The sequence below is a fragment of the Homo sapiens genome, chromosome 19 (assembly GCF_000001405.40).
Source record: "Homo sapiens chromosome 19, GRCh38.p14 Primary Assembly".
Classification (NCBI taxonomy): Eukaryota; Metazoa; Chordata; class Mammalia; order Primates; family Hominidae; genus Homo; species Homo sapiens.
This window is the reverse complement of record NC_000019.10, coordinates 6,393,769-6,419,094: the sequence shown is the minus strand read 5'-3', so window position 1 is coordinate 6,419,094 and position 25,326 is coordinate 6,393,769. Positions and strand designations below refer to the sequence as shown.

The 25,326-nt window shown below is 52.7% G+C and overlaps 1 protein-coding gene, 1 non-coding gene and 1 pseudogene across 5 annotated transcripts in view, besides 2 other annotated features; 2 read left to right on the top strand and 1 right to left on the bottom strand.

Moving 5' to 3' along the window:
• KHSRP (KH-type splicing regulatory protein) overlaps positions 1–5,993 on the top strand; it is an 11,710-nt gene extending 5,717 nt beyond the window's left edge. Inside the window, exons 8-20 of one of the 3 annotated variants that reach the window (NM_001366300.1) lie at positions 219–393; positions 514–612; positions 1,016–1,114; positions 1,254–1,356; positions 2,008–2,108; positions 2,213–2,357; positions 2,445–2,605; positions 2,688–2,797; positions 3,199–3,287; positions 3,361–3,486; positions 3,638–3,715; positions 3,794–3,954; positions 4,975–5,993. In NM_001366300.1, coding sequence (NP_001353229.1) covers positions 219–393; positions 514–612; positions 1,016–1,114; positions 1,254–1,356; positions 2,008–2,108; positions 2,213–2,357; positions 2,445–2,605; positions 2,688–2,797; positions 3,199–3,287; positions 3,361–3,486; positions 3,638–3,715; positions 3,794–3,954; positions 4,975–4,983 — 1,456 coding nt within the window. In that variant the 3' untranslated portion in view covers positions 4,984–5,993. Of the gene's footprint in view, positions 1–218; positions 394–513; positions 613–1,015; positions 1,115–1,253; positions 1,357–2,007; positions 2,109–2,212; positions 2,358–2,444; positions 2,606–2,687; positions 2,798–3,198; positions 3,288–3,360; positions 3,562–3,637; positions 3,716–3,793 lie in introns of all 3 variants that reach the window. The other 2 variants (NM_003685.3, NM_001366299.1) reach the window with 2 other exon arrangements.
• Positions 2,584–2,685, top strand: MIR3940 (microRNA 3940). The gene has a single exon (NR_037505.1). It is a non-coding gene; the product is annotated as a microRNA 3940 (primary transcript).
• Positions 5,749–6,573: an enhancer, noted in NCBI's record as "H3K27ac-H3K4me1 hESC enhancer chr19:6412533-6413357 (GRCh37/hg19 assembly coordinates)". NCBI's record gives its function as "activates a minimal SCP1, AML or CMV promoter by ChIP-STARR-seq in naive H9 embryonic stem cells {active_cell/tissue: H9 hESC(naive)}" and the evidence as "EXISTENCE:reporter gene assay evidence [ECO:0000049][PMID:30033119]".
• Positions 6,574–7,398: an enhancer, noted in NCBI's record as "H3K27ac-H3K4me1 hESC enhancer chr19:6411708-6412532 (GRCh37/hg19 assembly coordinates)". NCBI's record gives its function as "activates a minimal SCP1, AML or CMV promoter by ChIP-STARR-seq in primed H9 embryonic stem cells {active_cell/tissue: H9 hESC(primed)}" and the evidence as "EXISTENCE:reporter gene assay evidence [ECO:0000049][PMID:30033119]".
• Positions 6,691–25,326, bottom strand: LOC390877 (adenylate kinase isoenzyme 1-like; annotated as a pseudogene). Its single transcript, NR_172890.1, has 4 exons — positions 25,241–25,326; positions 22,548–22,736; positions 7,183–7,374; positions 6,691–6,825 (listed from the first exon to the last, which is right to left on the bottom strand). The product of NR_172890.1 is annotated as an adenylate kinase isoenzyme 1-like (transcript).

Below are 25,326 nucleotides of genomic sequence, written 5' to 3'. Positions count from 1 at the left end.
TGCCCCCATCTCCAGACAGCCATGTTAACATGAGGCTGATTCCCCGGCAGCCCAAGACCTGGGGAACCTGGAGCCTGAACAGCCCCTGTGACTGGCCCCTCTTCCCTGTCATCCTTGCACACTCTGGGGTCGCCTTCCCTTTGAGCTGGGTGGGCCACCAGACCAGTACCTTTCTCCAGCGGTGGCACCCGCTCATCCCCCGCTCCTCCCCTTCCCAGGAAAGCCAAGATGATGCTGGATGACATTGTGTCTCGGGGTCGTGGGGGCCCCCCAGGACAGTTCCACGACAACGCCAACGGGGGCCAGAACGGCACCGTGCAGGAGATCATGATCCCCGCGGGCAAGGCCGGCCTGGTCATTGGCAAGGGCGGGGAGACCATTAAGCAGCTGCAGGTGAGGGCAGCACCTGGGCAGCTTCCTCTGCATCCGTGTGCCACACCCCACCGCCACCACCACAGCAGCCCAGGAAGTCCTGGGAGAGCCCAGCACTAACGGTTAACCTTGCTTGTAAAGGAACGCGCTGGAGTGAAGATGATCTTAATTCAGGACGGATCTCAGAATACGAATGTGGACAAACCTCTCCGCATCATTGGGGATCCTTACAAAGTGCAGGTGAGCACGCCCTGGGGTGGTGGAGGGGGTTCTGGAGAGGCACGGGCAGGTGGGCAGGGCCAGCGGTCTCGGGGTCTGCATTCCGCCAGAGAGATATGTGAACAGTCGGTCATAACACCAAGAGGCTTGCAAGAGCGCTGGCTCGTAGGATGGCCCTGAACTGACTCCCAGCTTTGTGTGTGTGAGGCACCGGCCTCACCTCTGACCTTCTGCTTTTTTATCTGGAAACGGGGCTGCTGGTAGTGCCTCCCCATTAAAGTGGCAGGTAGAGAGCTCAGTAGGGTGCTGTGCTGGGCTCACCCAGGGTTCGTGGGTCCTTAGTTGAGGCCCGCACCCCCGAGGAGGTGGGGGGGTGTGGGGCAGCAGGGCTCACCCATGGGGGCTGCTTCCTGTGTGTTTGCAGCAAGCCTGTGAGATGGTGATGGACATCCTCCGGGAACGTGACCAAGGCGGCTTTGGGGACCGGAATGAGTACGGATCTCGGATTGGCGGAGGCATCGATGTGAGTGTGGGCCCTGCCTTCACCCCCCTCTCCCCCGCCAGTGGAGGGAGGGGCCGGGGTGAGTGGCTCCTTGTGGCCAGTGGGCAGCAGAGGGCAGCAGAGCTGCGGGCCGAGCTGACGCTGCTGCCTCCCTCCCCAGGTGCCAGTGCCCAGGCATTCTGTTGGCGTGGTCATTGGCCGGAGTGGAGAGATGATCAAGAAGATCCAGAATGATGCTGGCGTGCGGATACAGTTCAAGCAAGGTCAGGGCCTGGCCCACCCTGCCCCTGGCCAGTGCACCCCCACCCTCTTTGGGAGGCAGGCTCTGAGGGAGCTGGGCACCGTGGTCAGCCAGGTGGCCTCCATAGCACCTCACGGCTCTTAGTCCAGCCGTCAGAACATGGCCAGTCCCTTCTCTTCTCTGGGACAGACACATGAGGGCTTTCCACATCCAGGGGGAACGTGTGTTCCTATCCCTATCAGATCTCCTCTTCCTCCCCCTACGATGGAGCCTATCCTGACAGGACAGCCCTGGGTGCCCCGCAGGCTGGATCAGGGCACTCCACCTCAGCTCTGGGCTCTTGCCAGTCCTCAGGCAGTCTCTGAGCTGCCTGCCGTGGGGAGAAGGGCCCCTCTGGCTTTTCAGAGATTTATTGTTCTGTAAAATCTCTCAGTGCTGGGGGTGCTGTGTGCTGGAAGAAGCTTGAGCCACCTCCTGGCTTGGCCGTGGGTTTCCTTCTCTGGGAATGTGGGCCGCCTCCCCCTCAATCCCTGAGCGAGTGGAGGCTGGGAGCGGCGCAGCGCGTCTGAGATCTCAGGCCGGCGTGGTGTCTGCGCTGGAGGCGGCGTTGCAGGGCTCTGGGGTGGGCTCTTCTTTTAAACTTGTGTCTCTGCTCTCTCGGTGCTGGCCTCAGATGACGGGACAGGGCCCGAGAAGATTGCTCATATAATGGGGCCCCCAGACAGGTGCGAGCACGCAGCCCGGATCATCAACGACCTCCTCCAGAGCCTCAGGGTAGGTGGCCCCGGGTGCTGAAGGGGCTGGCAGGGCCTCCAGGGGAGTGCAAGACCAGACCGGCTTCCAGGGTTCATCATCCTCCTCCTCCTCTTGTCTTGCAGAGTGGTCCCCCAGGTCCTCCAGGGGGTCCAGGCATGCCCCCGGGGGGCCGAGGCCGAGGAAGAGGCCAAGGCAATTGGGGTCCCCCTGGCGGGGAGATGACCTTCTCCATCCCCACTCACAAGTGTGGGCTGGTCATCGGCCGAGGTGAGTGTGGCCCCCTGCACCCTATCCCTTGCCCCCTCTTCCCTGGGCCATCACTGCAGGCCACCTTCACCTTCTGCGTTTCTGCAGGTGGCGAGAATGTGAAAGCCATAAACCAGCAGACGGGAGCCTTCGTAGAGATCTCCCGGCAGCTGCCACCCAACGGGGACCCCAACTTCAAGTTGTTCATCATCCGGGGTTCACCCCAGCAGATTGACCACGCCAAGCAGCTTATCGAGGAAAAGATCGAGGTGGGTTGGGGCGGGCTCTGGGGATTTGGTCTCACAGCCCGGATCCCAGCCCACTTACCTTGGTTACTCTCCTTCCTTCTAGGGTCCTCTCTGCCCAGTTGGACCAGGCCCAGGTGGCCCAGGCCCTGCTGGCCCAATGGGGCCCTTCAATCCTGGGCCCTTCAACCAGGGGCCACCCGGGGCTCCCCCACAGTGAGTATCCTCTGCCTCCTGGGTTTTGAGGCCGGGGGCTTACTGAGCTGGCAAGAAGAATAGCAGACCCCATTTCCCTTTCCCTAGAAGTGCAGGCGGGGGGCCTCATCCAGCCCATTTTTGTGGATACCATCAACAGGCCCTCTCCTGTCTACTGGTAGAGCATGTGCCTTTCAGCATCCCTCTGTGCACGTGCAAGTTTCGCGGCTTCTTTCATGTCCTCAAGCTGACGCTGCGCGTCCTTCGAGTTGCTTCTTGTCTAGGCCTTTCCCAGGCGCCCCGTTGAGCCTGGTGGTCTGGGTCTCTGGCGCCTCCCCACTGAAAAACATCCCCACCCCAGGTGGTCCGGCTGCGGCCACCCCCGCACCACTGCTCAAGCATCCCTTTCTTCTCTCCTGCAGTGCCGGGGGGCCCCCTCCTCACCAGTACCCACCCCAGGGCTGGGGCAATACCTACCCCCAGTGGCAGCCGCCTGCTCCTCATGACCCAAGTAAGTGATGGGCCACCTGGCGGAGGGCAGGCCCTGTTCTGTCCCCCCGTCTCACCCGAGGTATCTCCTGCAGGCAAAGCAGCTGCAGCGGCCGCGGACCCCAACGCCGCGTGGGCCGCCTACTACTCACACTACTACCAGCAGCCCCCGGGCCCCGTCCCCGGCCCCGCACCGGCCCCTGCGGCCCCACCGGCTCAGGGTGAGCCCCCTCAGCCCCCACCCACCGGCCAGTCGGACTACACTAAGGCCTGGGAAGAGTATTACAAAAAGATCGGTGAGTCTGCAGGGTGGCGGGGGGGCTCCAGCCCTGCCGGGGGAGTGGTTTCTGACCTGTCTCGGCGCCCGCACAGGCCAGCAGCCCCAGCAGCCCGGAGCACCCCCACAGCAGGACTACACGAAGGCTTGGGAGGAGTACTACAAGAAGCAAGGTGAGTGGCCACCATGCGGGGACAGGGGCAGGGGCAGCCCTCACCCACAGCCTCTCACCTGCCTTTGTCCACCCACAGCGCAAGTGGCCACCGGAGGGGGTCCAGGAGCTCCCCCAGGCTCCCAGCCAGACTACAGTGCCGCCTGGGCGGAATATTACAGACAGCAGGCCGCTTACTACGGACAGACCCCAGGTCCTGGCGGCCCCCAGCCGCCGCCCACGCAGCAGGGACAGCAGCAGGCAAGTGGGAATTGCCACCCTCCTCCTCCTCCTTTCTCCTTCCAACCCCCGGCCACCGTCCATCCTGCCTTAGTGGGTAGCGCCGGAAACCCCTTCCCCTGCGGGGTGTGCCCTTGATGCCTGCAGCGGGGGCCGTGTGGCCGGAGGTCTCCGGGAGTCCCCACGCACCGCCAGGGAAGCATTCGCTGGGTCCAGAGGTTAAACGAAGAGGCCTCCCTGCGCCGGCTGCTTGTTCCTGTGTGCCGCTGTCGTGATGCTGGGGAGCGCTGAGACTCGCAGGCGGGACTTCTGAACTGCTGGGGAGTCGGGGGGCAGGCAGACAGCGCGGACGGTGGGCACCGGCCCGGCCGCCACCACCTCGCTCACAATCTGGCCACTTGGGAAGAAAACGTCTATTTTTTCCCCTTCTCTGCATCACTTTTTTGGTTTTTGTTCTTTTTATTCTTTTATTTTTTAAACCCATGATCTTTTTTCCTGTGTCCAAGTGACTGTGTTGCAGGCGGCCTGGCTCTGGCAGGGACTGGTGGGGACGCGGGGAGCGGCCCAGGCCCCTGCCCCGCCGGGCTCAGCCTCCCATGCGCTCGCGCTTGCCTGTGTCCCGGGCTTGTCTGTGAAGTGGGCGTGAAGATCGTTGCCACCTTCCAACCTACCTCACAGGGGTGTTGTGGGGACACCATGATCTCTGGATTGTTCATGTCGTCGTGCTGCGCCGGGAGCCACCGCCCTCCGGAGACAGGGCAGCTCCCCTACGACCCTAGCGCCTCCGCCCTCCGCGGCCCCTCTCCTCTCTTCCTGCTCTGTCCCTCCTTCTCCATCAGGGAGCAGCGTGACTTCAGCGAGTCCCGCGAGCACCTGGCTAGACAGTTAACAAGCACGTCCTTCCAGCCTGAGCCAGCGCAGGTTTGGGAGGGGGCTTCCTGGCCCCCCCCACGGTGTTCCAGCCCCTCCTCTCTTCCGCCCCCTAGTCTCCCACCCTTCCCTCCCCGTAGTGACCAATTCCTATCTCTTCCCTCTCCGCAGGCTCAATGAATCGAATGAATGTGAACTTCTTCATCTGTGAAAAATCTTTTTTTTTTCCATTTTGTTCTGTTTGGGGGCTTCTGTTTTGTTTGGCGAGAGAGCGATGGCTGCCGTGGGGAGTACTGGGGAGCCCTCGCGGCAAGCAGGGTGGGGGGGACTTGGGGGCATGCCGGGCCCTCACTCTCTCGCCTGTTCTGTGTCTCACATGCTTTTTCTTTCAAAATTGGGATCCTTCCATGTTGAGCCAGCCAGAGAAGATAGCGAGATCTAAATCTCTGCCAAAAAAAAAAAAAAACTTAAAAATTAAAAACACAAAGAGCAAAGCAGAACTTATAAAATTATATATATATATATTAAAAAGTCTCTATTCTTCACCCCCCAGCCTTCCTGAACCTGCCTCTCTGAGGATAAAGCAATTCATTTTCTCCCACCCTCGGCCCTCTTGTTTTTAAAATAAACTTTTAAAAAGGAAAAAAAAAAGTCACTCTTGCTATTTCTTTTTTTTAGTTAGAGGTGGAACATTCCTTGGACCAGGTGTTGTATTGCAGGACCCCTTCCCCCAGCAGCCAAGCCCCCTCTTCTCTCCCTCCCGCCCTGGCTCAGCTCCCGCGGCCCCGCCCGTCCCCCCTCCCAGGACTGGTCTGTTGTCTTTTCATCTGTTCAAGAGGAGATTGAAACTGAAAACAAAATGAGAACAACAAAAAAAATTGTATGGCAGTTTTTACTTTTTATCGCTCGTTTTTAACTTCACAAATAAATGATAACAAAACCTCCCCGTCTGCGGGTGCTGTCTGTCTCCCCCCCTTTCCTTCCCTCCCTGTAGTTTTGAAGCGGATGTTTGTTCTTTATAGATGTTGTTTAAAAAGCCTGATAATGGTGATTGAAATTTACAAACTTTGTGTTTTTTTTTTTTTAAGAAAAATATAAAATAGTTTTCTTCAGGCTCAATGTGCTTTCCTAACCGTGCCCCCCCCCCTTTTTTTTTTTTGTTAAATAAAGTGCTTTTTGTTTAAAAAAGACTGCGTGCTGGCCGCAGTTGTGTTTGTGAGAGGAAACAAGTTGAGCAAGTCTCAGCCAATTAGAGTGGGGTGTGGCCCCCCAAGACTTTCCCCTTCCCATGTGGGAAGGGGAGGCTGGCTGAGCCCAGCACTGCTGTCTTCCCCTACCCAGTTTCCCTCCAGCACCTTGGGGAGCAAGGCGCTCAGGAGGGCCTCAGGGACCGGCGTTCCCATGGATGGGCTGTTGCTACAGGAGGTCCTCTGGCCTGTTAACGTTCAGAGCCCTGAGGTGGGAGCCAGGCCCGCGTCAGTGCTCGCTGGGTGATGGGACCGGATGTGAGGTGGGAGAGGGCACCGAGGGGCCACCCAAGCTGTTTGGACCTGGGCAGGTGTCTTGCAGCCCCGCATGCAGCTGCAGGGTCTCTGAGGTTGTGGCTGAATGCCAGCGTTTAAAACTCGCTTCATCTTAGATGTCCTGGGCTCATGGGCCTGGTGATAGCCCCGGCAGGAGCCAGTAACAGCTGTGGCCTCTAGGGGGGGCTGTTGACAGTCCCCTGACCCATGCAGGTGTGCCAGGCACCTGGCCCAGTGGGGCATGTTCCTTGGTGGCCCCTGGCCAACCTCCCTGGTGGGGAAACAGACCCCGGGAAAGGGAACCTGTTGCTCTGGAATCACAGGGGGCATCGGTCCCCCTTTCTGGAGGTCTCACCTCCTAGGTACGCACCCTTCCCACGTACTGCACGGGTTCCGGTGAGGGGCAAGGCCCACCCCCAGCCCCTCTGTCTCACTGCAGACTCTCAATGACAGAGCAGCACTTGGCAAAGATGTTCTCTGGTGCTGCTTCTGCCGGGATCTAGAGAAAGGGGAGCCGCAGGGGTCAGGTCTGGGCCCCACGGCAGGGACACCACCCTCTCCCGCTCAGACCCTGGGAAAATCCCAGAGGCATGCACGTGAAGGGAGAGGGGACAGGGTCAGGAAAGCTTGTGTTGCTGACTGCTGTGTGAGGGCGTGCAGGGAGGCCCCACCAGTGTCCCATTGCCTTCCCACGTGAGCCAAGGCTGGGTTCTCAAGGCATTTCCTGGGGGAATGGGAATCCCCCAGGTTACCTGGTAGGAAAGCGAGGACCAGGCCCGGGTGACCCTGGACTGTTAAAGCCAGACTTGTTCCCTAGGGGTTGGGGTGCAGTGAGCCAGAAGCGGGGAGCACCTACGTTTCAGAGCAGGTTATTGCGCTGGTAGGTCAAGACCGGCTCACACAAGGTATAGTGCGTGTCCAAGCGCTGGTGGATGGCCAGCTCCGAGTCGTCTGCCCGGTGCTCCACCTGGCCCCAGTGTAGCACTCGTCGGAGCATCGTCTCCATGGAGCAGTCAAACACGATGACGACGCTGGGGGCCTGGCCCACCTAGGAACCCGAACAAGGGGGCTGGGTGTGGAGGGACCAGGCACAGTGGCTCCAGAACCCCGGCTTCCCCAGAAACCAGGTATCTAGGATTACGTGGGCAGGTAAGAAATAATCAGGCCACCCTGGTCTGTTTTATTTATTTATTTATTTATTTATTTATTTATTTATTTGGGCACGTAAGGAATAATCAGGCCACCCTGGTCTGTTTTATTTATTTATTTATTTATTTATTTATTTATTTATTTATTTATTGAGATGGAGTCCCACTCTGTCGCACAGGCTGGAGTGCAATAGCACGATCTCAGCTCACGGCAACCACCTCCTCCCAGGTTCAAGCAATTCTCCTGGCTCAGCCTCCCAAGTAGCTGGCATTACAGGTGCACACCACCACACCCAGCTGATTTTTGTACTTTTAGTAGAGACGGGATTTTGCCATGTTGGTCAGGCTAGTCTCGAACTCCTAACCTCAGGTGATCCTCCCGTCTTGGCCTCCCACAGTGCTGGGATTATAGGCGTGAGCCACCATGCCCAACCTTGTTTTATTTTTCTAGCTCAAGTTTTACGTATTTACTTTTTGGAGAGGACAGGACATTCACTGCCAAACACACACACACACACAGTGAAGCATCTCGCCATCTCCAACCACCCAGGGTCACTCTCCCTGGAGGCAGCCTAGTTACCTGCTCCTGTGTCTCCTTCGAAAGCTATGAGGCATGCACACTGCAAGCAAATATGGTTCTAATACTTTTTTCCTCCTCTTTTTTTTTTTTTTTTCCTTGAAACAGAGTCTTGCTCTGTCAACCAGGCTGGAGTGCGGTGGCGCGATCTCGGCTCGCCGCAACCTCCGTCTCCCAGGTTCAAGCAATTCTCCTGCCTCAGCTTCCCAAGTAGCTGGGATTACAGGCAGCCACCACCACGCCCAGCTAATTTTTGTATTTTTAGTAGGAACGGGGTTTCGCCATGTTGGCCAGGGTAGTCTCGAACTCCTGAGCTCAGGTGATCTGCCCACCTCAGCCTCCCAAAGTGCTGGGATTACAGGCATGAGCCACCGCGCCCAGCCTAAAAAGTAAAATATTCTTAAGTGACTCAAAAGGATACTTGCACAGAAGGATCAGATATATATTCTTGGATAGAAAGACTCAACATTATAAAGGAGCTGAGTCTTCCCAAACTAGTTTATAATTGTCATGTGATCCAAATGTGATGCAATGGCCAAGCATGATGGCTCACGCCTGTAATCCCAGCACTTTGGGAGGCTGAGGTGGGTGGATCACTTGAGGTGAGGAGTTCCAGCCCAACCTGGCCAACACAGTGAAACCCCATCTCTACTAAAAATACGAAAATTATCCGGGCGTGGTGGTGCACGCCTATAGTCCCAGCAACTCGGGAGGCTGAAGCAGGAGAATCGCTTGAACCCGGGAGGCAGAGGTTGCAGTGAGCAGAGATCACACCACTGCACTCCAGCCTGGGCAACACAGCAAGACTCTGCCTCAAAAAAAAAGAAAAGAAAAGAAGAAAGGAAAAAGCCAACAACCTGTCAGAAAAAAAAAAAAAATATATATATATATATATATAGAGAGAGAGAGAGAGAGAAAGAGTTTACTGAAGAAGACAACAAAACACCTTTCAAACTTTTTGTATTTTTAGAGACAGGGTCTCACTCTGTTGCCTGGGCTGGAGTGTAGTGGCAAGATCATAGCTCACTGCAGCCCTGAACTCCTGGGCTCAAGCGATCTCCCACCTCAGCCTCCTGAATAGCTAGGACTACAGGTATGTGTCCCTGTGCCCAGCTTGGCCCTTAAACTTTGCAAAAGATATTAAAACTCAATTGTAGCCAGAGAAATGCTCATTACAACCACACTGAAATACCACTTCTCACCTACACAGGTTGACAAAAATCCAAAACCTTGGCAGCATGTTCTGTAGGTCTCACTGTAAATGTAAAATGAAGAGGAATCTGGTGATGGCTAGCAAAATTATGCATTTCTCTTTAATCCAGCAATTCCACTCCTAATCTATTTCAAGGATACTAGCAAAAAGGTGAAATGACATGCAAAGGTTATTATTTAATGTGGCATTGTCTGTAGTGGCAAAGGATTGAAAGTAATTTATTGCCCATAGGAGATTAGCTGAATATACAATGGCGTGGCCACACAATGGAATACTACACAGCTGTAAAAAAAGAAACAAGGAATATCTCTTGACACTGATGTGAGATATTCTGGATGGATATATGGCAAAGTTAAAAAAAACAAAAAAACAGGCTGGCATGGTGGCTCAGGCCTGTCATCCCAGCACTTAGGGAGGCCGAGGCGGGCAGATCGTTTGAGGTCACGAGTTTGAGACCAGCCTGGCCAACATGGTGAAACCCCGTCTCTATTAAAAATATAAAAATTATCCTGGCATGGTGGTGCACGCCTGCAGACCCAGCTACTCAGGAGACTGAAGCAGGAGAATCGCTTGACCCAGGAAGCAGAGATTTCAGTGAGCCAAGATGACACCACTGCACTCCAGTCTGGACAACAGAGAAAAGAAGTTGATGTAATGAAATACTGCAAACGCACACAGAAGAGGATAGCGTGAGGAATCCCCAGACAGCCAGGTCTAACCATTGTTGTATCTGTGCCCAAACCTCTTGTGAATGCTGGTTATGGGTTTTTGGGTTTTTTTCAGACAAGGTCTACTTTTGTCACCCAGGCTAGATAGAGTGCAGTGGCGTGACCATAGCTCACTGGGGCCTTGAACTACCCAACTCAAGTGATCCTCCCGCCTCAGCCTTCTGAGTGGGGGGGAAAAAAAAGGATACAAGGTCATTTGAAATAATTATTTTCTGACTGGGCACGGTGGCTCACGCCTGTAATCCCAGCACTTTGGGAGGCCAAGATGGGCAGATCACTTGAGGTCAGGAGTTCGAGACCAGCCTAACCAACATGGTGAAACCCCATCTCTACTAAAAATACAAAATTAGCTGGGTGTGGTGGTGCGTGCCTTTAATCCCAGCTACTTGGGAGGCTGAGGCAGGAGAATCGCTTGAACCCAGGAAGCGGAGGTTGCAGTGAGCCCAGATTGTGCCATTGCACTCCAGCCTGAGTGACAGAGCAAGACTCCATATAAAAAGATATATATATATATTTTCTGTGTAATTAAGGAATGCAATAGATACATAGTTGGGTCATTTGTTTCAGTTAGGTTTCATTATGTAGGGTTGCCTGGCCAACCCTGTATTTTTATTATGGTGCATCTATAGTGGGATAGAGTTGGTCCTCCATATGCGTGAGTTCTGCATCTGTGAATTCAACTAACCTCAGACTGAAAATATTTGGATGCCGGGCGCAGTAGCTCACGCTTGTAATCTCAGCACTTTGGGAGGACAAGGTGGGCAGATCACTTGAGGCCAGGAGTTCGAGACCAGCCTGGCCAACATGGTGAAACCCCATCTCTACTAAAAATACAAAAAATTAGCCGGGTGTGGTAGTAATCTCAGCTACTCGGGATGCTGAGGCAGGAGAATCGCTTGAACCCAGGAGGCGGAGGTTGCAGTGAGCCGAGATCGCGCCATTGCGCTCCAGCCTGGGCAACAAAAGGGAAATTCTGTCTCAAAAAAGAAAAAAGAAAAGAAAATATTTGGAAAACAAGTTGCCTCTGTATTGAACATGTATAGACTTTTTTTTTTTTTTTTTAAGACAGGGTCTGGTTTTTTTCCCCATACCTCACAATGTCCAAAATAAAATTCTTTTTTTTATTTGTTTGAGACAGGGTCTTGCTGAAGTACAGTGGCGCAATCATAGCTCACTGTAGCCTCAAACTCCTGGGCTCAAGCGATCTCACCTCACTCTCCTGAGTAGCTGGGACCACAGGCGTGGGCCACCTTGCCCAGCCCAGAATTTTTTCCTTGTCATTATTCCCTAAGCAATACACTATAACAACTATTTACATAACATTTACATTGTTTTAGGTATTACAAGTAATCTAGAGATGACTTACAGTATATGAGAGGGTGATCATAGGTTCTATGCAAATACTATGCTATTTTATTATTTAACTCTTTGAATATGTAATTTATTTAGAGATGGGGTCTCACTATGTTGCCCAGGCCGGCCTCAAACTCCTGAGCTCCCACTTCGGCCTCCCAAAGTGCTGGGATTACAGGTGTGATTACCGTACCTGGCCACTACTGTGTTATTGTATATCAGAAATGTGAGCAGCCAGGTGTGGTGCCTCACGCCTGTAATCCCAGCACTTTGGGAGGCCGAGGTGGGTGGATCGCCTGAGGTCAGGAGTTCAAGACCAGCCTGGCCAACATGGAGAAACCCTGTCTCTACTAAAAATACAAAATTAGCCGGGCATGGTGCCACATGCTTATAATCCCAGCTACTCAGGAGGCTGAGGCAGGAGAATTGCTTGAACCCGGGATGCGGAGGTTGTAGTGAGAAGAGATCACGCCACTACACTCCAGCCTGGCGACAGAGCGAGACCCTGTCTCAAAAACAAACAAACAAAAAAACTTCAGCATCCATGGATTTTGGTATCTGAGACAGATCCTGGAACCAATCCCCCATGGATACAGAGGACCTACATATTAAAGGAAAACGAGGCCAAGCACGGTGGCTCACGCCTGTAATCCCAGCACTTTGGGAGGCCAAGGCGGGTGGATCACCTGAGGTCAGGAGTTTGAGACCAGCCTGGCCAACATGACGAAATCCCATTTCTATTAAAAATACAAAAATTATCCAGAGATCGCTTGAACCTGGGAGGCAGAGGTTGCAGTGAGCCGAGATCATGCCACTGCACTCCAGCCTGGACAAAGGACAAGACTCTGTCTCAAAAAAGAAAACTAAAATAAATAAATAATAATAATAAAGGAAAATGAGAGCTATAAAGAAATCTTAAACTTCCTTTTCTAATTTTATTCTTTTATTTATTGTTTTGACCCAATAATTGTACATGTGTATAGGGTACATAGTGATGTTTCAACACATATAGTTTTATTCTTAGTAGTTAATGTTGGCATATTGTTTTCAAACTATTTGGTATCTAATGGTATGATGCAAATGAGTATGTTAGTGGTATTAAGAACCAAAATTTTTAGGGAAAGAGAAAAGGGAAGGAACAACACTGTAAGTGTCACGTGAACGTGAAATATCAGAATGAACTTGTGATTTCTTTTTCTCTTTCAAGAGTATGTGTTTCTTAGCTCTGTTCACTGGGAAGATCCAGAAACGATGACAACCCAATAGCAACGAGTATTCTTTGAACCCTAATTTTGCACCACGAAAAGGGCTTCTGGAAAAGACCCATTCCAGGACTGAGCAAGAAATGTAAAAAGTGGGAGTTTAGGCCGGGCGTGGTGGCTCACACCTGTAATCCAAGCACTTTAAGAGGCCAAGGTGGGTGGATCACCTGAGGTCAGGAGTTCGAGACCAGCCTGGCCAACATGGTGAAACCCCATCTGTACTAAAAATATAAAATTTAGCCAGGCATGATGGTGGGCGCCTGTAATCTCAGCTACTCAGGAGGCTGAGGCAGGAGAATTGCTTGAACCTGGGAGGCAGAAGTTGCGGTGAGCTGAGATGGTGCCATTGCACTCCAGCCTGGGTGACAAAAAAAAATAAAAAATAAAAATAAAGCGGGAGTTTAAAGTCTTGTACCAGAAAACAAGAAGCATTCGACCACGGCCAGGCACGGTGGCTCACGCCTGTAATCCCAGCACTTTGGGAGGCCAAGGCGGGTGGATCACCTGAGGTCAGTTTGAGACCATCCTGGCCAACATGGCGAAACCCCCTCTCTACTAAAATACAAAAGTTAGCCAGGCATGGTGGCACATGCCTGTAGTCCCAGCTACTCGGGAGACTGAGGCAGGAGAATCGCTTGAACTCGGTAGGCGGAGGTTGCAGTGAGCTGAGATCGCACCACTGCACTCCAACCTGGGTGACAGGGTGCGACTCCATTTAAAAAAAAAAAAGAAAAGGCCGGGCGCGGTGGCTCACGCCTGTAATCCCAGCACTTTGGGAGGCCGAGGCGGGCAGATCACGAGGTCAGGAGATCGAGACAATCCTGGCTAACACGGTGAAACCCCGTCTGTACTAAAAATACAAAAAAATTAGCCAGGTGTGGTGGCGGGTGTCTGTAGTCCCAGCTGCTGGGGAGGCTGAGGCAGCAGAATGGCGTGAACCCAGGAGGCGGAGCTTGCAGTGAGCCAAGATCACACCACTGCACTCCAGCCTGGGTGACAGAGCGAGACTCTGTCTCAAAAAAAAAAAAAAAAGACATCCTCATTGTGGGGGAGCTGGGCGGAGGGCATATGAGACCTCTCTACTATCTCAGCATTTCCTTGTGAGTCTATAATTAATAAAAAGGTTTTAAAAAATACATACTTTATGGCTGGGCACGGTGGCTCACACTTGTAATCCCAGCACTTTGGGAGGCCGAGACGGGCGGATCACCTGAGGTCAGGAGTTCGAGAACAGCCTGCCCAACATGGTGAAGCCCCATCTCTACAAAAAATACAAAAATTAGCCAGGCATGGTCGCAGGTGCATTAATCCCAGCTACTTGGGAGGCAGAGGCAGAAGAATTGTTTGAACCCGGGAGGTGGAGGTTGCAGTGAGCCGAGATCAAGCCATTGCACTCAGACCTGGGGGCAAGAGCGAGACTTCTCTCAGAAAAAAAAAAAAAAAAAACCACTTATTTTATTTATTTATTTATTTTGAAACAGGGTTTCACTCCTGTCGCTCTGGCTGGAGTGCTGTGGTGCATTCTCAGCTCACTGAACGCTCCTGGTTCTCAAGCAGTTCTCCCACCTCAGCCTCCCTAGTAGCTGGGACCACAGGTGCTTGCCACTGCACCTAGCTAATTTTTTTGTATTTTTTTTTTTTTTTTTGTACAGATGGGGTTTTGTCGTGTTGCCCAGGCTGGTCTGGAACTTCTGGGCTCAAGCAATCCACCCGCGTCTGCCTCCCAAAATGCTGGGATTACAGGCATGAGCCACCTCACCCAGCCCTAAAAATTAAGAGGAGGCAACCCTTCCTCCTTGGGCCTTGGTTTCCCCATCTGTAAAATAGGGGCGAGAGTCTCCCTGGAATGCTGAGGCTGTGTCCAACCTTGGCTTCCCATGGATTTCAGTGGGTTCACCCAGGACGGCCCCCCATGGTGTCTGGAGTATACAGGACAGTGGGAATCATAAGGGGAATCACCACACCCTTCCTGCACATTGTGTTCTTGTGCATAGAGATCTCCATCCTGGGGATCCATCATCAAGCCAGACCTGCTTCACCAAAATGCACCAAACAAAGACGCATGAGCCAGCTGGGGTCCCAGATGGGGCTAGGCATGGTCTGTGTTTCAGGCTCCAGGGATGCTGTGCTACTAGGAACCTCTGGACAGACTCTAAGGCAGGGACACTGCAGACTCAAATGCCTCTAGGAGTGACCGTGACAAAGTCAGTTGCACAGTAAAGGAATTAAAATTGGGGCCTTGGAGGCTGGGCGTGGTGGCTCACGCCTGTAATCCCAGAACTTTGGGAGGCTGAGGTGGGAGCTTGAGGCCAGGAGTTCAGGACCAGCCTGGGCAACACAGCAAGACCCTATTTATTTATTTATTTATTTATTTATTTATTTATTTTTTGAGACAGAGTCTTGCTCTGTCACCCAGGCTGGAGTGCAGTGATGCGATCTCTGCTCACTGCAACCTCCGCCTCCCAGGTTCAAGAGATTCTCCTGCTTCAGCCTCCTGAGTAGCTGGGATTACAGGCTTGCGCCACCAAGCCCAGCTAATTTTTATTTTGATTTTTTTGAGAGGGAGTCTCGCTCTGTCGCCCAGGCTGGAGTGCAGTGGTGTGATCTCAGCTCACTACAACCTCTGCCTCCCGGGTTCAAGTGATTCTCCTGCCTTAGCCTCAGGAGTAGCTGGGATTACAGGCGCTCACCATCACGCCCGGCTAATTTTTGTATTTTAGTAGAGACGAGGTTTCACCATGTTGGCCATCACACCAGGCTGGTCTCAAACTCCTGACCTCAGGTGATCCACCCACCTGGGCCTCCCAAAGTGCTGGGATTACAGGCGTGAGCCACCACGTCTGGCCCCCATCTCTATACTAAAATAAAAAGTTAAAAAATATGGGCCCAAGGAGTGGGGTTGCCTGGGCTTCTGCCCTGCCTTCCCCACCTACATTGTGTGACCCTATTGCAGCTCCCCGATCGCTCTGCAAAACATCGGGATGCTAATGCCTGGAACGTTCCGGAAGATGAGTTCATCCATGCAGAGTGTTGAGAACAGTGCTGGGCTCAATAAAAGCTCAGGAAGCGTTCACGCAGCTGTTGCCATGGGGACGTGCAGGCCCTGCGTTGCCAAGTCAGTCGGTTTTCAAGAGAAGCTGGGAGTTTTGATGTGGAAGCTCCCTGTTGTCGAATGTTGGCCGTGAACCCAAAAAGGAAAATGCAAAATGCTGTAAAGTCCAAACCGAACACTTTGGTGGACCCAAAGGGGCCCATGCCACGGTCTGTAGCCTCTGTTCTGAGACCTAGAAGCCACTGGTGGAGCTGGGGACCTGCTTTCTTCCGGGCACTGGCCTGAGGCTGGGGCAGGCATAGAAATGAATGAGCCCGACCTTTGCCCTCGGAGAACTCCCAGTCCTGAGGCGGGGGCCTGAGATTTGTCCTTTAACCCCATCACAACGAATTATGAGCCCAACAGAATTCCTTGAATGTAGGTGTGAACAAAGGGCAGGGCCCCCACCTGCATGTGGGAACAGCTGCCCTGGCGCCCATGACCTTTGATTCCATCAAAGTGCTTCTTCAAAAGGTTTTTTTTTTTTTTTTGAGACGGAGTTTCGCTCTTGTTGCCCAGGCTGGAGTGCAAGGGTGCAGTCTTGGCTCACTACAACCTCCGCCTCCCGGGTTCAAGCCATTCTCCTGCCTCAGTCTCCCAAGTAGCTGGGATTTCAGGCATGCGCCACCATGCCTGGCTAATTTTGTATTTTTAGTAGAGTTAGGATTTCTCCATGTTGGTCAGGCTGGTCTGGAATCGAAAGGTATTTTAAGTGGAATCCAACAAGCCTCAGAGAAGCCTCAAGGTCTGTAGCCTGACAGACAGTTTCTCTTCTCTTTTCCTTCCTGTTTTTTTATGTTTTGTTTGTTTGTTTAGAGACAGTGTCTTGCTCTGTCACCCAGGCTGGAGTGCAGTGGTGTAATTATATCTCACTGTAGCATTGACTTCCTGGGCTCAAGTGATTCTCCCACCTCAGCCTCCTAAATAGCTGGGACTACAGGCATGCACCACCACGCCTGGCTCATTTTTAAATTTTTTTTGTAGACACAGAGGTCTTGTTATGTTGCCCAGGCTGGTCTCGAACTCCTGGGCTCAAGCGATCTGCCCTCCTTGGCCTCCCAAAGTCCTGGGATTACAGGCGTGAGCCACTGCACCCGGCCTCTCTTTTCCTGCTCAACTGTTTCCAAACAGAATCAAAAAGATCCCTCCTTGTTCAGTCCACAGTATCGTCACTGTTCACGTGTTCAGACAGCTGCTTGCACAAAAGCCACGCGGAAGTGTGAAAATCACCTGAAGAAATTCCCTCCAACCTTCCCAGCACCAGCTCCTCATCCTCCACTCAGGGCCCCAGTGTATCCACGTCAGGGAGGCCACCATCCAGCCCACCCAGCCCACCCAGCCCAAAAGAGCACACTCTCGTTCCTCCCAAATGTCATTCTGTTTTCTGTTCTTCGCCGCACTTAACTGCTATTATAAATGTCTTTGTAGGTTTTATTTGTTTGTTTGTTTTGAGACAGAGTCTCCATCTGTCACCAAGCTGGAGTGCAGTGACACAATCTCAGCTCACTGCAACCTCCACCTCCCGGGTTCAAGTGATCCTCGTAGCTCAGCCTCCCCAGTAGCTGGGATTACAGGCGCGCACCACCGTGACTGGCTAATTTTTTTTGTATTTTTAGTAGAGAGGGGGTTTCACCATGTTCGCCAGGCTGGTCTCAAACTCCCGACCTCAGGTGATCCACCCACCTCGGACTCCCAAAATGCTGGGATTACAGGCATGAGCCGCTGCGCCCAGCCCAGAAATGTCTTTGTTTTGCATGACTTCGTGCCTCTCTTTCTCACTCTGATGTCGGCATCTTGTAAACTCTGTATCCCCAGCCCCGAGGGCAGGGCTTTCTCTAAGAACACTTCGGGGACAGGTGGTTGCATAAACAGATGAATGAACAACACGAATCTCTCTCTATGGCCTAGGGAGGATGCTAAACCCACACGCTATTCAGTGGGCAAATGGTTCACCCACCACATGCCAGGAACTGGGCAGGAAGATACTGAAATGACTTCCTCCCTGCCCTCAGAGAGCTCCCTAGCTCCTCATCTGGGTTCTAGAAACTTCCAACACCCTGACTTTCCCTTGATAATAGAACACTCTGTTTCCCAGGCAGGTGCAGGGTCTCATGCCCATACTCCCGGCACATTGGGAGGTTGAAGTGGGGGGATTGCTTGAGGCCAGGAGTTAGAAACCAGCCTGAGCAACATAGAGGAAACCTATGTCTACAAACAAACAAACAAACAAAAAAGGTACTTGGCTGGGCACGGTGGCTCATGCCTATAATCCAAGCACTTTGGGAGGCCGAGGTGGGTGGATCACCTGAGGTCAGGAGTTCGAGACCAGCCTGGCCAACATGGAGAAAACCCTGTCTCTACTAAAAATACAAAAAAAAAAAAAAAAAAAAAAAAAAATTAGCCGGGTGTGGTGGCAGGCACCTGTAATCCCAACTACTCAGGGGGCTAAGGCAGGAGAATCGCTTGAACCCGGGAGGCAGAGGTTGCCGTGAGCCGAGATCACGCCATTGCACTCCAGCCTGGGCAACAGAGAGAGACTCTGTCTTAAAGAAAAAAAAAAAAATTAGGTACTTGGGGGGCTGAAGTGGGAGGAGTTTAATGCTGCAGTGAGCTATGATCGCACCACAGCACTCCAGACTGGGCAACAGAGTGAGACCCTGTCCTCAACACCCAAAAAAAACAGGCCGGCATGGTGGCTCACGCCTGTAATCTCAGTACTTTAGGAGGCCGAGGCAGGCAAATCACTTGAGGTCAGGAGTTCAAGACCAGTGTGGCCAACATGATGAAACCCCATCTCTACCAAAAATACAAAAATTAGCCCTGCGTGGTGGCGGGTGCTTACTGTAGTCCCAGCTACTCAGGAGGCTGAGGCACGAGGATCGCTTGAACCCAGGAGGCAGAGGTTGTGGTGAACCAAGATTGCACCATTGCACTCCAGCCTGGGCGACAGAAGGAGACTCTGCCTAAAAAATAAATAAATAAATAAATAAATAAATAAATAAATAACAAAAAAACTCCATTTCCCTCTCAGCATCTCCTCTCTCCTTGTATCTCAGCCTTTCTTATCTCTAGTCTGTGCAGCCTTATCCAAGGTGGGCGGGGAGGGATGGCCTCACACCTCCACACATGCACACAGACACGCACACACCCACACCCACACTTCAGGGCCACTCACGATGCGCTCAAACTCCATGGCCTGCTTCACCTCCTGGGGAAAGCCATCGATGAGGAAGCCCCGGCTCTCCGGGCGGGACAACATGTTGTCACTGACCATATCTGGGATGATGCCCTGGGAAGGGAGTGGGTGAATTCAGCACCCGGGAGCCCTTCTTTCCCCGCCGAATCACCCTGGGGAGATCAGTTTCTAAGGTGGCTCTCCCTGTCAAGTTCTATTCCTCCATCTGGACTTTAGGTGAAGACAGGGTGACTATACCCTGCTTGGCGCCCTGGATTCTGAGTCTGCTACAATGCTCTAAAGAAATTGCTTCTTCACTGGGTGCGGTGGCTCACGCCTCTAATCCCAACACTTTGGGAGGCCAAAGTAGATGGACCACCTGAGGTCAGGAGTTCAAGACCAGCCTGGCCAACATGGTGAAACCCTGTCTCTACTAAAAATCCAAAAACTACGCTGGGAGCAGTGGCTCATGCCTGTAATCCTAGCACTCTGAGAGGCTGAGGCGGGCAGATCACCTGAGGTCAGGAGTTCAAGACCAGCCTGGCCAACATGGTGAAACCCTGTCTCCACGAAAAATACAAAAATTAGCCAGGCATGGTGGTGCACACCTGTAATCCCAGCTACCCGAGAGACTAAGGCACAAAAATCACTTGAACCCGGGAGGCAGAGGCTGCAGTGAGCAAAGACGGTGCCATGGCACTCCGGCCTGGGTAACAGAGTGAGACTCCTCAAACAAAGCAAAACAAAACAAAACAAAAACCTGCTTCTGAAAAGGAGGCATGCCAGTGCTGGGCTTGTACCTTAATCATCACCATGTTATGAGGCAGGTACTGGGGTCCCCTTCATTTTTCGGGTGAGGAAGTGGCTTCACGGGGTGACAAAGGAAATAAATACTAGCTAATTCTGTTGAGTGATTTTTTTGGTTTGTTTTTGTTTTTTAAAGAGATGGAGTCTCACTCTGTTGCCCAGGCTGGAGTGCAGTGGCACAATCTCAGCTCACTGCAACCTCCGCGTCCGGGGTTGAAGCGATCCTCTTTCCTCAGCTTCCCAAGTAGCTGGGATTGCAGGTGTGCACCATCATGCCCAGCTAATTTTTGTATTTTTTAGTAGAGACGGGGTTTCACTATATGTTGGCCAGGCTGGTCTCGAACTCCTGGCCTCAGGTGATCCGGCCTCCCAAAGTGCTGGGAGTACAGGCATGAGCCACCACACCTAGCCATTTTTTATTTTCTTGAGACAGACTCTCGCTCTGTTGCCCAGGCTGGAGTGCAATGGTGTGAGCTCAGCCCACTGCAACCTCCACCTCCCGGGTCCAAGCGATTCTCCTGCCTCAGCCTCCCGAGTAGCTGGGGATTACAGGTGCATGCCACCATGCCCAGCTAATTTTGATTTTTTGTTTGTTTGTTTGTACTTTTAGTAGAAATGGGGTTTCACCATGTTGGCCAGGCTGGTCTTGAACTCCTGACCTCAAGTGATTCACCCGCCTTGGCCTCCTAAAGTGTTGGGATTACAGGCGTGAGCCACTGCACTCAGCCTTTTTTTTTTTTTTTTTTTTAACTGAGTCTGGGTCTATTGCCCAGGCTGGAGTGCAGTAGCATGATCTCGGCTCACCGCAACCTCCATCTCCCGGGTTCAAGCGATTCTACTGCCTCAGGCTCCCGAGTAGCTGGGATTATAGGCGCCTACCACCATGCCCGGATAATTTCTGTATTTTCAGTAGAGAAGAGGCTTCACCACGTTGGCCAGGCTGGTCTCGAACTCCTGACCTCGTGATCCACCCGTCTTGGCCTCCAAAGTGCTGGGATTATAGGTATGAGCCACCGCGCCTGGGTGAGACAGGGTCTTGCTCTGTCTTCCCGGCTGGAGAGCAGTGGTGCAGTCACGGCTCACTGCAGCCTCGACTTCCTGGGCTCAAGGAATCCTCTCACTTCAGCCTCCAGGTAGCTGGAATATAGATTCATGCCACCATGCCCAGCTAAATTTTTTCTTTTAAAATTTTTCTTGGTTCATTTTTATTATATGCCTTTTTCCTGCAGTACCAGCTAACTTTTTAAAATGTATTGTTTTGGGCCGGGCACGGTCCCAGCACTTTGGGAGGCCAAGGTGGGCGGATCACGAGGTCAGGAGATCGAGACCATCCTGGCTAAAATGGTGAAACCCCATCTCTACTAAAAATACAAAAAAATTAGCCGGGCATGGTGGCGGGCGCCTGTAGTCCCAGCTACTCAGGAGGCTGCGGCAGGAGAATGGCGTGAACCCGGGAGGTGGAGCTTGCAGTGAGTCGAGATTGGGCCACTGCACTCCAGCCTGGGCGACACAGTGACTCCGTCTCAAAAAACAAACAAACAAACAAACAAAAATTTATTGTTTTGACCAGGCACGGTGGCTCACACCTGTCATCCTTGCACTTTGGGAGGCCAAGGTGGGTGGATCACTTGACATCAGGAGTTCAAGAGCAGTTTGGGCAATATGGGGAAACCCCATCTCTACTAAAAATACAAAAATTAGCTGGGCATGGTGGCGCACGCATGTAGTCCCAGCTACTCAAGAGGCTGAGGCATGAGAATCACTTAAACTCGGGAGGCAGAAGTTACAGTGAGCCGAAATCATGCCATTGCTGTCCAGCCTGGGGTAAGAGAGTGAGACTCGTGTCAATAAATAAATTAGTTAATGGATAATTTAGTCCAGGCACAGTGGCTCATGCCTGTAATCCCAGCACTTTAGGAGGCCGAGGCGAGTGAATCACCTGACGTCAGGAGTTCAAGACCAGCCTGGGCAACATGGTGAAACCCTGTTTCTACTAAAAATACAGAAATTAGCAGGGCATGGTGGTGTGTGCCTGTAATCCCAGCTACTTGGGAGGCTGAGGCAGGAGAATCGCTTGAACCAGGGAGGTGGAGGTTGCAGTGAGCCGAGATCACGCCATTGCACTGCAGCCTGGACGACAAGAGTGAAACTCCATCTCAAATAAATAAATTTATTTTTTTTAAGAGACAGGGCTTGCTATGTTGCCCAGGCTGGTCTCAAACTCCTGGGCTCAAGCAATGCTCAGACCTTGGCCTCCCAAAGTGTTGGGAATACAGGCGTGAGCCACTGTGCCTGTCCTTGAGTGATTTTTTTTAGCTCAAATTGATCTTTATTTGCAATTCATGAATGGGGCACCCTCCATTTCACCAAACAGTGAGCGCTTCCCTAGTGAGTGATTTTTTTTTTTTTTTAGACGGGGTTTTCCTCTTGTTGCCCAGGCTGGAGTAGTGTAATGGCATGATCTCAGCTCACCACAACCTCCGCCTCCCGGGTTCAAGTGATTCTCCTGCCTCAGCCTCCTGAGTAGCTGGGATTACAGGTATGCGCCACCATGCCCGGCTAATTTTGTATTTTTAGTAGAGATGGGATTTCTCCATGTTGGTCAGGCTGCTCTTGAACTCCCGAACTCAGGTGACCCACCTGCCTTGGCCTCCCAAAGTGCTGGAATTACAGGCGTGAGCCACTGGGCCAGACCCCTACGGCCTTTTGATGGGATCTCCCCTTTTCACAGATAAGGAAATGAAGGTTCAGTGCAGCAAGGCAATGGCCACATGGGAAGTTGCAACCTTCTGGGTCCCGTGAGCCCTCCTGGTGGGTGGTTGTCCCAAGGTACCCCTTCCGCCCTAACCCCTCCCATGAGCTCCTACCGCGGGCACCAGGAGCCCCTGCAGCGTGATGTCACGGATCTGCCGGCCCCGCTGCGTGCTCCTTTGAGCCTCCTGTCTCAGTAGCTGGTCCAGCCCCACATGGCAGAAGCCGTACTTGGTCGCCATATTCTTGCACTGTGTCCCTTTGCCACAGCCCGGGCCCCCCATCCAGGGGGGACTTGAGAATGTCTGTGGTGCCCAGGAAGAGTGAGGGAGATGGGTTAGTGCCTGTAGGGGCACAGGTGTCCCTGAGTGACATTGGACAAAGTCTCTTGGCATACTCTTGCTGTAGGGTGGCATCTTAGGGGTATGGTTCTTTTTTTTTTTTTTTTTTTTTTTGAGGCAGAGTCTTGCTCTGTCGCCCAGGCTGGAGTGCAATGGCGCTATCTCGGCTCACTGCAAGCTCCGCCTCCCGGGTTCATGCCATTCTCCTGCCTCAGCCTCCTGAGTAGCTGGGACTACAGGCACCCGCCACCGCGCCCGGCTAATTTTCTTTGTGTTTTTAGCAGAGACGGGGTTTCACCATGTTAGCCAGGATGGTCTCGATCTCCTGACCTCATGATCTGCCCGCCTCGGCCTCCCAAAGTGCTGGGATTACAGGCGTGAGCCACCGCGCCCGGCCTCTTAGGGGTATGGTTCTGTTCTCAAGGGCATAGCCAGGCACGTTGTGTGTTTGTGCCGCTTTGGATGAAGATGTGAACTTGAGGCCAGGTGTGGTGGCTCACGCCTATAATCCCTGCACTTTGGGAGGCCGAGGCGGGTGGATCCCTTGATGTCAGGAGTTTGAGACCAGCCTGGCCAACAGGGTGAAACCCCATCACTACTAAAAATACAAAAAAAATTAGCTGGGTGTGGTGGTGCACACCTATTCGTGAGGCTGAAGCAGGAGAATCGCTTGAACCCAGGAGCCAAAGGTTGCAGTGAGCCGAGATTGTGCCACTGCACTCCAGACTGGGCAACAAAGCAAGACTCCATTTAAAAAAAAAAATGATGTGGCCAGGTGCGGTGGGCTCATGCCTAGCACTGTAATCCTAGCACTTTGGGAGGCCGAGGTGGGCAGATCACTTCAGGTCAGGAGATCGAGACCATCTTGGGTAACACGGTGAAAACCTGTCTCTATTAAAAATACAAAAAATTAGCTGGGCGTGGTGATGGGCACCTGTAGGCCTAGCTACTTGGGAGGCTGAGGAAGGAGAATGGCGTGAACCCGGGAGGCAGAGCTTGCAGTGAGCCGAGATCGTGCCACTGCACTCTAGCCTGGGCGACAGAGCGAGACTCCGTCTCAAAAAAATAAAATAAAAAAAAACAAAGACGTGAACTTGAGCAGGCCAGGCCCTTCACACACGGCATCTCCTTAAAGCATCCTGAGGACTCTATCATCCCATTTTACAGTGGAGGGAACCGAGGTTCAGTGAGAGGCAGGGACTTGCCCACGCTCCCAGTCTCATCCCATACTCCCCTTCTCTCTGTTCCAGCCCCATATCCTACTCCCCTTCCCTCTGTCCCAGCCCCAACCCATACTCCCCTTCTCTTTGTCCCAGCCCCAGGGGGCTTCAGTTCTTTGAATTTGAAACTCACTTCTCCCTTGCTGTTTCCTCTGCTTGGAAAATCCCTGCCTGCCCCAGTTCCTTCTGGCCACAACTTCCATCTGGCCTTCTCTAGCCTCCATCTAGAGCTTCCCCCCATCACTCCTTGTCTGAGACACCTATTTCCTCCACAGCAATGGCCACAGTCTGTCATGATCTTCTCTGTTTACTCGTTCTTTTTTTTTCCTTCTTTTCCTTCTTTTTTTTTTTTTTTTTTTTTTGAGACGGAGTTTCGCTCTTGTTGCCCAGACTGGAGGGCAATGGCGCGATCTCGGCTCACCACAACCTCTGCCTCCCAGGTTCAAGCGATTCTCCTGTCTCAGCCTCCCGAGTAGCTGGGATTACAGGCATGTGCTACCACGCCCGGCTAATCTTGTATTTTTAGTAGAGACGGGGTTTCTCCACGTTGGTCAGGCTGGTCTCGAACTCTCAACCTCAGGTGATCCGCCCGCCTCGGCCTCCCAAAGTGCTGGGATTACAGGCATGAGCCACCGTGCCCAGCCGTTTACTCGTTCTTGTCTCCCCCAAGCCAGACACTCCATGAGGGCAAGGACTATTTCTGCCTCCCTCATTCCTATATTCCTAGGGGTTGGCGGTTCCTGACATTTAGTGGTGGATGAGAAATAAATGAAAACAGACACATCGACGGTGTCTGTAGTTCATGGCCCAACTTTTGTGTCTTGCCCGCCTTCCCTTTGCTTAGCCAACTCCTATGCATCCCTCAGTGCCCAACTGAAACCTCCCCTCTTCTCTGAGCCCTCAGAGCCCCGCTGTGCTTCTCCTGCTCCTTCCTGGGTTGTAGATTCCCATGCTGTGACTCTGTCTCTTCCACGACACTGTAACCCTCGAGAGGACACTGTAATCCTCCGTGGGGAGCTGGTTTGACAGATTCACCTTGCGGGGCCCCGAACCCAGGAGGTGCTGGAGTATTTGCGAAGTGGAGCAATGAATGGTTGCGCCGTGAGCATGCGCAGTTGTGTTACTGCCATGATTCGGGGGATGTGTGCATGCCTGGAACGGGGTAGGGGATCCTGCATCTCCCTCCTGTTCTCGGCAGCTTCCTTCCCTTCCCCCCAGGAAGCCAGCCAGCCGCCCCCGCGACGTTACCCTTCTCCTGGGGCCTCAGAGCCCTGCCCATCTCGGGCAGCTTGGACTTGCAAAGACCCATCCGGCCAGCAGCTCTTGGGGTGGTC